Source organism: Homo sapiens, chromosome 14, assembly GCF_000001405.40.
Source record: "Homo sapiens chromosome 14, GRCh38.p14 Primary Assembly".
Taxonomy (NCBI): Eukaryota; Metazoa; Chordata; class Mammalia; order Primates; family Hominidae; genus Homo; species Homo sapiens.
In genome coordinates this window covers 53,781,433-53,794,173 of record NC_000014.9, presented here as the reverse complement: position 1 = coordinate 53,794,173, position 12,741 = coordinate 53,781,433, and the positions used below count along the sequence as shown (strand labels likewise).

The 12,741-nt window shown below is 38.0% G+C and overlaps 1 long non-coding RNA gene across 10 annotated transcripts in view; it reads left to right on the top strand.

Moving 5' to 3' along the window:
* The window catches only part of LINC02331 (long intergenic non-protein coding RNA 2331), a 165,830-nt gene that overhangs the window by 56,653 nt on the left and 96,436 nt on the right, over window positions 1–12,741 (top strand). For 9 of the 10 annotated variants that reach the window (NR_184218.1, NR_184212.1, NR_184214.1 and 6 more), the window contains one exon: window positions 778–920. This is a non-coding gene — a long non-coding RNA (long intergenic non-protein coding RNA 2331). The remainder of the gene's footprint in view (window positions 1–777; window positions 921–12,741) is intronic. The other variant, NR_184221.1, reaches the window with a different exon arrangement.

Genomic DNA, 12,741 nt, shown 5'->3' with positions numbered 1-12,741 from the left:
CCTGTCCTTGTTGTTCAAAACATATTGGAATTTAAGTTATTAGCCCTAAACAAGTAACAAATTTAACCCTCTAAGTCTCCATTTCTATGTATTGTAAAGGAGGATTTTTTTTTTTTTAAATCATGAGGGAGAATTCTAAGGGAGTTGATGAAACAGATGCTGTGTAAACACAGTTCTATTATGTTGAAAGATATATCAGCTCAGCCACAGAGCCTTTACTGATCCCTCTGTTAGAAATCATTTATCTTCTCCTCTCCTCTGAACTATTGCTACACTTTGCTTTTTCTTATGGAGTACTGATTTTATCTAGCATTTTATTTATTCGTGTGTGTGTCTTAATTTCCCTTCTAGACTGTAATTTTCATAGTGGCATGAAATTTATGTCTTATTCAACTTTGTTTTCCCTACGAATTATATATATTTATATATACACACACATATATTAATATATAAACAATAGACATACAAATATATTAATATATACAAATAATATATACACATTAACATATTATATATAAAATTTGCAGGGAAAACATATATATGTGTATGTGTGTAAATATATATAATAACATTGGTTTTATAAATATAAAACCAATCCACCAATCCATTCCCATACTTCCTTTTGGTAGACTTATTCCTTTATTCAAAGATTTTGTCATTTGGTATGTGTTGGTTACTGAAAATAAGCTATTTTTTTTTAATCACCGTGCCTTGTGCTCTGTGTTTGTTAAATGGGATCACAAAGTAAAAGCTATTATTTTTATCCTCCCTTTACAGGTGAAGAAACAGAGGCAAAGGGAGCATAAGCAATTTTCCAAAGGCCATACAACATGTAAGTGGCTGAGCCAAGACTGAAATCACCAGGTTCTTAACCACTAGGCCATATTGCATTGGAGTGTTGCCTCCTGGAGTAAGACTAGGTAAGAAAATATGAAAAACATATGGCCCCTGAATCAAGCACTTCACATTGTAGTAGAAAAGACAGACCTGCAGAAACACCATAAGAATATAGGCTGATTGAGTGTAGTGATGGAACTTTGTGGAAAGGCCATAAACACAGCAAAAGGGCTGCCCCCAGGTGGCAGTGATCACTGGGACAGGGCTTAGGTGGAGTGTGGATTTTCTTTGTTTGACAGGGGTTGTCTCAATATCAAAAATGGCTCTTTTAGTAGGGAGGATAAGATTTTAGAGACCATCTTCCAGTTCACCTCCTTTATTGCAAAAGAGGAAGCTGAAATAAAGAAATTTAGGAGATTCGCTCAACACACAACTGATTAATTGCACATTCAAGACAGAACAGAAAAAGTTGTCTAAATCCTGTAGCAAACCTGAATTTTCCTGAAGATTCATTTGGAAGAAGAAACAGCCAGGAAAAAAAAAAAGAAAGAAAGAAAGTAAAAGAGATGGTAAGAAATGATAATGCCCTTAGAAGGCCATTATAAAATATAGAAAAATCAGTGAAGAAACAAAAACATCTAGAGTCACAAATGTCATATTGGCATCTCCTACTTTAGAAAAAGGTACAAAAAATAAGACTTTCCCCTTCTTCCCCATGTTCCTCCTCAGGTCCCCCCACCCATCCCCTATCCCTGTTTTCTACAGAAGCTTACATAGAGAACTATGAGACTATTGGGCATGGTGGTCTGTGCTCTGCACCCTAAACATGGTTTCACTGATTGCTAGTTTTCCATAAGAATACAAAACCAATTGTTTATTGTACTGTCACAAGTTTGCCTCCCTCAGGCTTTCACTATTTCAGCTAAAACAGATGCTATTTAGAAATATAGAATATTGTAAAAGCCACTTAATTCTCTAATGATTTCAATTATAAAAGGTAAAAATTTTTTACCTCCCCATGCTTCAGGTTAATTTTGTCCTCACCTTATGTTTTTGTTATTCTCTCTGCCTCGATTCTCCCCTCATTTCCATCCATTTAATTCTTTGCTCCTCTTCCTGGAATTCATATAGTAGGAATTCCACCTCTCCCATGTGCATTTGAGCCAAAGTTCCCAAAGCAAGTTCTATGGAACATGATTACCTGAAGAGCTTCCTGAAAGCTGGGTTCCATGGTCAAAGAAGCTTGAGAAAACCTCACATTATCTCTTGTCTGATGACCAGAATTTATTATTTGTACCTTAAAGTTTAGCAGTCAATTATTGTATATGTAAGAAATGATTAAATATCTATCATGGACCAAGCATACACAGGGCTGAATATGGGAGTTATAATTGTTCCCTCACCCTAAGTAAGTCTTGTCTGTTTACCCAGATTTTGTAGTTCTGGAAAGTAAGGACTGGTCCTATTGTATTGTTATACTGTTATAGAGTTACAGTATAATGGCAATAAGAGAGGCTCAATAAATGATTTCCGGTTGGCTTGTTGGTTAACTAAATGTGAGTTAGCTTTTACCAATAAAAATTGCTTTTATCTTCTCCTTGAAAACTACTCTGCAAGAGAAAGTGCCTTTGATCCTACTTAGTAGGATAGTTTTTCTAACAACAAAACTCTCTACAGAAAGTCTGAAATGCATCTGCATAATGTGACTGACTCAAATAGCAATGTCCAACATCAGAAAAATACCAATTTTCCAATTTTGGAATGCCTACCAGGATACATAGAAGACCACAGGGAAAAAAACACCACAATTATCCCCATTTTATTCTCCACTACAGAAATCCAGCCTCTGTTGCTGGATTTGATGTCTAGCCACAATCACATGTGACTAAGTTGAGTTCATGAACTGAATTTGGGCTGATCCCATTAAATTCTTAAATAGAGAAAAATATTTGTTCTCACCTGACCAGCTTTGACTAAAAGGCATCTTGTGGTGAGGACAATGCAAAATGAAGCATGCCATTCTCCTGTCACACGATATCTGCCTCGAAATCAGATTGCCACCCAGTGATTAATACCGTCTGTCTAACACATTCCTTGTTTGGGGGCTGGGTGTCAGGAAAGAAGGATTTATTATATCATAAGATGTCCATGAACAAACTCCAGGGACAGATGTGGTAAAAACAGGACTTAAAGCATTTGGTGAGAATATCCCAGTTATTCTTTAAGGGACTTGTCAAACATTAAATTAAGTGAAGCAGAAGGGTTTTATGATTTTTCTCCCCTCCTTAAGTGGACTGTCAGAGTTATGTTACTAGAGTTAATGCTACCAAATTTGAATGCTTGAGTGCAGCCCTGTCTTGAAGTATTTGTCAGGGAAAAAAAAAGACTGTTTGAGGCTTGGCAGACACTTCCCATATGAGTTATGAGAGAATAAACTATTTCCAAGTTGTACTACTGAAAGCTGAAAGGACCTATGGAAGACCTTCCAAACTGTTATTATAAATAGGAATTCAAACCATGGAAGAATTCATGCAAAATCTTGATTCAGAGCATACTTGAACTTAGCATTTCCCTTACCATGGCCTTTCTGAGTGTGTTACTTAACACTGCATAAATGGTTCTCAACTATCTGAGGATGGTGTTTGATGTCCCTGTTGCTGTTGAGTGCAGAATTAAAAACAACAAAAAACGGCTCCAAATTTCAAGTATGCACTATGCAGGTGAGCTGGGAGGCAGGACTTTCTGCCAGTGGAGTCATTTAACTCTAGAATGTGCTGGTAAGAGTGGATTTGATGGAGGGTGTGAGTTGTCAGCTCAGAGAAACTTAAGCTGGAATGTAGCTTGTTACCATTTGTTACTGCTCTGCCTCACCTGAAATGCTGTTTTCTCTCCAGCCATACCAGATCCTCTGTCAATTAGAATTCTGGTCCTTGATGAAACCTTGTTAGATTGCAGGCCCTAAAGGCAGAGGAAAGGCAGCAATGATGGGGGACGAGTGTTTGCACTGTGTTGGTCTCTCCCCATCACCTTGATACATCTATTGAGAACAGATAGTCAGTTCCACAGCACAGCATAAAGTTTCCCCCAGAGTGTGGTCCTTGAGCTACCTGCATCAGCATCATCAAACAAGCCTTTAAAATGCATATTCTCAGGCCCTGTGCTAAATATTCAGTATTAGACTCTCTGGGAGTGAGGCCTGGGAATATGCATTTTAAGATTCCCCAAGGGACTTTGGTGTACCCTGCATTTCTACTTGAGATTTGGGTTACCTCTTTTATTTGTAGTTGCAATTGTTTAGACCAGATGCTTCCTGAAGAAGAGGCTACAGGAGAGGGAGGAGACGGGGTAGGGGAAGAGACAGAGACTGGACCCTTTGAAAGGGTGATGTTGGGGTCAAATGGACTTCGAGAGCAGCTGTAGGGCAGGGATTCTACACTGGTGACCTGCACATATATTTTCTTTGAATTACACAGCATTTACAATTTTTAAAAATCAAAATGCCTTTATACTGGGCATATCCTCTTCTGTCTTCCACAACTCATCACTGCCTACTCATTCATCCCCTTGCCATTGAAGGCACTTGATTACCAACTCCTGGGGAAGGTGGCAGATTTAACATTAAATGGCCTATTGTCTCCTTGTTTTTAAATCATGGATGGATATGAACATGTTTACAAAAGTTCAAGAGCATTGAACAGGCTTTTTCTTTGATTTGTCTTTAAACCAGGTTGACTTTTACTTTTCTGACTTACTGGAAGGCGCCAATGAAATAGTACCTGGCAAAGTGTTTTAATGCAGTGCATGCCTCAATAAATAATTTTCTCATGAACAAAAAAGTAATGTGATACAGCTGACGATTTATTTTATGGCTGCTTTCTCTTATCTTCCCGTCCACTGAGCCCTTCCAAACTTCAGTCTTCCACACCACAAAATGGCAGAGGAGGATTTCTACAATCCAGGTCCCTCACTTTTCACCTGCTTTGGGTGGGACAGGTGAAGCCCAGATTTTCTCAATTTTGTTGCAAATTCTCTGTGAAATAAAAGCACAGCCTCAGATCTGTCTGAGAGGTCCTTACATACTCTTCGTTCCTGAATGTTTTCATGTAAACATTTTTAATTTGTGGAAAATCTGTTTGTTTGTTGTGTTTGTCAAGTTAATGTAAACCGTAGTCCGTTAGTCCTTGAGATGAGTCTACTAAATATTTTCAGATGTTTTTTATTTCCTCAGCTAAGAGCTGGATTTGAACCAGAGCTCAGGGGTAAAAGGGCAACATGTAATATACAGAGACAAGGAATTTGACATATGAAATAAAATAATGTAATGTTTTTAATATTAAAGATGAAAAAAGCAGCAATAAAACATTGTGGAAGGAGGAAAACATGAATACCTGTATATTTTAATTTTAAATGCCTGCAGATGTTGAATTTTAATCAGAGCATGTCAGATTCTGACTCTGACAAAGGCAAAAATGTGAGATCTGTTTTCTTGAATTGCTTCCACATTTCTTGCCTCAGATTTTATTGCATATAGCACTGCATCATCATATATTTATGTAAAGTGCCAGCATCCATTGACTTAGTATGCGCATGATGGTTAACATATAAAACAGTATGCGATGAAGGAACGGCCCCTTCCTTCTCCCACCATGGCACACATTCTCTCTGTGACCTTGTGGTAAGGACGGCATTTAACCCCTCTCTGCTTTAGTTTCCCTAATCGCAACATAGGAACCACCACTCTCCTTTCTTCTTTAGCTCCATGGGTCTTATGAGGATTATTTGAAATAGCAATTGATCTATACACTTATAATACAACATAACAATATCAGATATAAGTCTATGTATGTGGAAATACTTATTCAGAGAGATTGGAAGGAAAATAAAACTAGTGAAAACTAGACTGATATATCTCTTCTAGTAAAAACTAGACAGAAATGTATTAAAATCTAAGTGACTTTGAAATTTAGTGCACATTTTTGAGGTACTTTCTATTTCTCTGCTTTTGCATTATGTTTCCTAAAGCAGTGTGAAAGCTGATGACAAATTTCACACTGAAATTCTACTGAAAACAATGGATTTAGACATACGGAATTGTGAGTGGAGAATCACACTCACTCAGAGTGCTTTTTCCTCTTCTCTCCCTCAACACAACTCCAGTCATCACAGAACACTTTCATGACCAAATGTGTGTGGGGTGTTATTCCCACACATCAAGCAAACAATCAGTTCTGCAGCAGTCACCAGGGGGGTGTCCTGTAATTCAGTTCCAACACTGTCTACCTAGAGATGGTGTCAGATACCACAGGTTGAGGACTCAGTCTCCAAGACTGCCTCCTGAGACACCAGTCCCAAGTCTAGAACTCTGGAACTTCTAACTGACGAGCTCCAAGCTGCAGCTCCTATGGCCCCTGCTCTGGGTTTGATTAATTTACTAAAGCTGCTCACAGAACCCAGGGAAACTTACTTAGATTTACTGGTTTATTATAAAGGATACCACAAAGAATACAGATGAAGAGATCTATAGTGCAAGGTATGGGGGAAGAAGAATGGAGCTTCCCAGGCTTCCCTGGGCATGCCACCCTCCAGGAACCTCCATGTGTTTGGCTATCTGGAAGCTCTTGAACCCAGTCATTTTAGGTTTTTATGGAAGCTTCATTATGTAGGCATGATTGATTAAATCATTAGACATTGGTGATCAACTTAACCTTCAGCCCCTCTCTGCTGCTTGGATGTTGGGAAGGGTGGGGCTGAAAGTCCCAACCTTCGAATCCTGCCTTGGTATTTGTGGTGACCAGCCCTAGAAGTTACAATCTTGAAGCTACCTAGGGGTTGCCACCCATCAGTCAATTGTTAGCAAGCAAACAGACATCACTTTGGAGATTCTAAGAAATTTAGGAGTCATATAGAAGGAAATGGGGTCAAAGACCAAACATGTATTTCACAATATCACATTACAGTTCAAAGAATTATCCGCAAGTCCCCATTATATTTTTCTCTGAACATTTTGAATGTTATAAGATAAAACAGGACAAGCAGTTAATTTGGTTGAAGATCTTCAGTGTAAGGTCAATTTTCATCTTGCTTCTTGTTTTCTTGCATCTTGCTTCTTTCTTAAAAGACTCATAGCCATTAGGGTTTTCCAGTCTAATGACTATATATCCATGACTCTTTAAAATCTTTCCTCTTCCAATCACTTTTCACTTTGGGGTACTCCTCCTGCCTTCTAAAGAGATCTGTGTTGAGTTGTTAGAAATAGCCAAGGGACTTTTAAGAACACTGAAGCTGCATATTAAATGTTAAATTATCTGTGATGTATCTCCTTTCTTATTTTCAAATGTTCAGAGAAGTCTGCTATACACACAAATGTTTAAGGAGAAAGAAAAAGGGTGATACTTAATGCCTATGATGATGTGGTATAAAACACGGACATCATATTTAGAATAGTAGGCAATCTATCTGCTGACCTAATTTAGTGGAAACAGGACTCATAGCCAGTGGCAAGGGGGAAAATTACAGTAGTCTCTATCCAACCCATCCCCTTTATCAAATCATCAATAGATTATGTATACTTCTTTTTTTTTTTTTTTTTTTTTTTTTTTTTGAGACAGTCTCGCACTGTCGCCCGGGCTGGAGTGCAATGGCGTGATCTCAGCTCACTGAAACCTCTGCCTCACAGGTTCAAGCGATTCTCCTGCCTCAGCCTGCCAAGTAGTTGGGATTACAGGTGCTCACCACCAGGCCCAGCTGATTTTTTGTATTTTTAGTAGAGATGGGGGTTTCACTATGTTGGCCAGGCTGCTCTCAAACTCCTGACCTCATGATCTGCCCACCTTGGCCTCCCAAAGTGCTGGGATTATAGGCATGAGCCACCACACCTGGCTGATTAGGTATACTTTTAACAATCTATATATTTAATTTAATTTTTAAGCTACTGCATTTATTTGACCCTTCAAGTATTTTTACTACATTGCAAAGGAGAGGAGTTTTTTTCAGCAGAATTATTCACAAGAATATTTCAGAGAAAAATGATCAGAGTGAGAAATGACTCACACTTCCTAGAGAGCTCTGTGCAATTCCCTTGCATGGGGAAAGGGAGGACCAGGCAGGGTCTGCTCATCTGGAGGGTGGGAGTGGAAGCTGTGCTAGCCATTGCTGTCTGGAACTGTGTGAGAAGGCAGGGCTAGAGAATGATGGCATGGAGAGAGGAGTGTACTGAGGCAAGATGGAGAGTTTTTTTTTGTAGTTACTGTGAATGGAAGATTTAGAAGAGAAATTTATGTGTCTAAACAGGAGTTCCAGAAAGTTATGCTTGAAGAATTATGTGAAACCTTCAGCTCCAGCAATTTAAGAAAACCTACAGTAAAGATAATACCTTCACATAAGTCTTCAGGTTTCTGGAGTTGAGTACCAAGCTTCTGGGATTATTTTTTGATTGTTGATTGTGATATACACAGTAAGACTAATCCATCAAATGGCATGCACACATCAAGCCTCAGCTCCTGTCTTCATCAAGCCGCCTTGATTCTTCTGATGTAAAATCAATTTCTCGTTATTCTCTGTTCTCATAACCCTTGCACATCTGTTCTTTTGCTCCACAAGAATGCAGACTCTGTGGTTGAAAGAAACTTTAGAGGTAATTAGTACAAGCCTTCATTCTCATCTGATGATCTTTTCTTCATTTGTTCATTCTCTCAACTAATATTGGCTCTCCAGCCACTGGAACATAGTAGACATAACATATAAGTTAAGTATTTTCTGAGAGCAATTGGAGAAAAGCTACATCTTCATAAAGTGGATACCCATGAATCTTATTCTCAGCTGGTTCCTAAGCAACTCAAGTGTATCTTTTACATATCCCTGGTCAGCTCGCTCTCCCTTTCTCCACGGGGATTATTCCAAACTTTCATCACTTTTTCAAAAAAGTGACTTTATTCCTATCCCCACTGCTATGTTGCTGTTTCAGGAGTTTCAAAACATAACCCATGGTGGTTTTAATGTAAGAGGTGTAAGGCTCATTAATGTTAGCTAGACACATCATTTTAGAAGTGAAAAAACCCCTGAAGTTTAAAGAAGTTATATGACTTACACAATCACATGGCTCATTTAGGTGTAGCATCTGGAGTAGGTTCTAGATAAGTAGAGTCTTTTGCCAATCTTCTGTCTGTTAGGTGATTCAGATCAAATAACTGTACCTTATTTTAAGAAAAGTGGACTAAAAACATTTGAAGAAAAAATGACCAAAACTTTCCCAAATTTGATGAAAACTAAAACACTAAAACCCCTCCGATCTAAGGAGCTCAAACAATCCCAAACACAACAACATAAAGAAAACTTTATCAAGGCATATTATAAATTAATTGCTCAATACTAGTGATAACAAGAAAATGTTAAACATAGCCAGAGGGGGGAAAAACACCTTACATACAGAGAAACATAGATAAGGATGACAGCAGATTTCCTTTGGAAACAATGCAATCAAGAAGTAATTGGGCAATGTCTTTATGATACTGAAAGAAGAAAGCTACTAACCTAGAATTCTATAGCGAGTGAAAAGATATTTCAAAAATGAAGGTGAAATAGACTAAATAGACTAAGACGTACAAAAACTGAAAGAATTGATCATCAGCAAGATCTGCACTACAAAAAAAAATGTTAAAGGAAGTCCTTCAGGCAGAAGGAAATGATGGATCAAAATATGGATCTACAAAACTATGGAAGAGCATAAGAATTGGTCACTATTATGAGTACATATAAATATTGTTTTTTATTATTTAAATATCATTAGAAATAATTGGCATCTAGACTGGAAAGAAGTAAAACTATTGGCAGATGACATGATCTTGTATGTAAAAAATCCTAAGGAACATGCACACACACACACAAATAATAGAACTAATTAATTCAGCAAGATTTTAGGATACAAGATTAATATACACAATCAGTTGTATTTCTATACACTAGAAATAATATAATAAAATTAATAAATATTTCATTTACAGTAGTGTCAAAAATAAAATATTAAGTAAATATGTTTAACAAAAGAACCTCAACTGATACACAGAAAACAATAAAATATCATTGAAAAAATAAAAGAAGAGCTAAATAAATGGAGACATCCCATGTTGGTGGATTGGAAGACAATATTTTTAAGATGTCAATACTCTCCAAGTTGACCTACAGAGCAAATGTAATTTCTATCAAAATATCACTGCCTTGTTTGCATATTAACAAGCTGATTCTAAAATTCATATGGAAATGCAGAATGGCTAAAGCAATCTGGAAAAAGAAGCCAAAAGACTTACGATTCCTGTTTTCAAATGGTGCATGGCATTGTCAATAGTCTAGTGTGTCTGGGGTGCGGGAAGGGAGAAGTAGTAAAGGTCATAGTAGTAGGGCCTCCTTATATAGCATGAATGCTAGTCTATGGAATTTGGCCTCGATTGTAAACTAATGGGAATATAAAAGAGGGTTTAAGCAGGGAGTCAGATCTGTGTTTTTTTTTTTTTCTAATTCTGATTGGGAGGAGTTGGTGGGAGTGAGGATGAAAGTCTTTGTCTATTATTGCTTTTAGGAGTCCTTTTAAATACCAAGAACTGAACTCAATCCTCCCAGTCTGTATTTGAGCACCCAAGACATGCTGCAAATGAGACAGGACAAGCCTGCTGTTCACTGGACAGCTGAGGACAGTCACAGTTGTTTGGTGGAGCAACAACACTACTGCTCCCCTACTTGGCCTCAGTTCATATTGCCAAGGGTGGGAAAAATGTCCTGTTCTTTTTTGCCTGCCCTCATCCTGATTGATTCCTCAGCTCCAGACCTTTGGTTCTAAATGACATTATCACCATGGAGCCATTGCAAGCTCCATCTCTGCAGAGATTTTGTAATCCCTCCAGTTTTGCCATATGGCTTGCAAAGGGATGAAGAGTTGCCCTGCTTGAATATGGTTTGGGAAATTGGCAGGGTGTGATTTACACATCTCTTTAAAAAAATCCACATGCAATATTTCAGACTTATAAAATGTATAAAGAATTCTAAAACAAAACAATATATTTAATACTCAGTTTCAGAAATAAAGTAGGATCACAGAGCAGTTGAATTCCACTGTGTTTCTTTCCCCAATCACAGTCATTACTTCCACATGTCTATCCTTGCTTCCTGAGTAATCTCTGTCATACATTTGGTATTTGGTGTTCCTGTGCATTTCTTTATATTTTTAGTACATATATTCATCCTTAAGTGCTATATAGTATTTCATTGTATGTTTGAAAATTTGCTACAAATATTATCATACTGCTTTGTCCACTTGCAATACAATTTTTAATCAGTGTTTTGTTTATGAGGTTCACCTATGTTGAATTATGTAGATCCTGTTTGTTCCTTCTATAACTGTATAGTATTCAATTGTATACATATACCACAGTTTATCCATTCTCCTGTTGATGGGCATTTATGCTGTTTCCACTTTTTCAAAATTACAAAGTTGTTGCCACAAACATTCTTTTCTTCTTTTTTCTTTTCTTGAGATAGAGTGTCCCTCTGTAGCCCAGGCTGGAGTGCAGTGGTGCAATCTTAGCTAACTGCAACCTCTGCCTCCTAGGTTCAAGAGATTCTCCTACCTCAACCTCCCCAAGTAGCTGGGACTACAGGCCCACACCACCACACCCAGCTAATTTTTTTTGTATATTTAGTAGAGATGGAGTTTCACCATGTTGACCAGGAGAACTCTTGACATCAGGTGATCCACCTGCCTTGGCCTCCCAAAGTGCTGGGATTACAGGTGTGAGCCACCACACCTGGCCGTCACAAGCATTCTCTTTTTTTTTTGAGACAGAGTTTTGCTCATGTTGCTCAGGCTGGAGTGCAATGGTGTGATCTCAGCTCACTGCAACCTCTGCCTCCTGGCTCAAGCAATTCTCTTACTCAGCCTCCCAAGTAGCTGGGATTACAGGCATGTGCCACCACGCTCGGCTAATTTTGTATTTTTAGTAGAGACAGGGATTTCTTCATGTTGGTCAGGCTGGTCTTGAACTCCCAACCTCAGGTGATCCACCTGCCTCAGCCTCCCAAAGTGCTGGGATTACAGGCGTAAGCCACAGCGCCCAGCCACGCCAACATTCTTATCCACATCTTGTGTTCATATGTGAGAGTTTCCCTGGCATATATACCTAGAAGTGGAATTTCTGGGTTAATTTCCATATTTCTTGACTCAAGACCAAGAGGAAATTTGATTTGAAAGGATGTCACAGTACTTCCTAAGTTAAAATATTGTGTTCAGGCCAAACTTTACCAACACTTTACTGCTGAGTTTTAATATCTAAGAATAGTAATATGCTTGAAAGAAGAGGATGGCTGGGAGATTATAAATTTGTATGCAGTCTGCAGTAGGATGAAATGTGGAAAATGGTGACTTGCTGTATCAGTGTCATGTCTGGCTCTGTGTGGTTTTTTACACTGCATACCTGGATAAACGTAGGAGGTCTTCCTGCCTCCACTTCGTTTCACTTTAATCCCTACTCTCAGATTAGTCTTCCTAAAATTATCTTAATTTTATTACTCTGATGCTCAAAAACTACAGAAACTTATTTATCGGACAGAATACAAAGTGCATTAAGTCTTCCCCAGTTAGATCTCAACTTGTTGCCTTATCTTCCAGGTTTTTCTCAAAATGTTTCTATTACAATTAAACAATTAACTTCTCCTTGTACCCAAATAGCTCTTTTACTTCTTAAATTTGTATGTCCACTTTAGAATTCCCCTGCTAATGATCTTTCTCTCCTTTTCAATTATCTAAATTCTATTCATTCTGAAAGATAAATCTACATTAAATCTTTTCTACAAGCCTCTTATTATTACCCCTACACTGGCATGTGACAGCTACCCAGTATTGCTCTTGATGGGATGGAC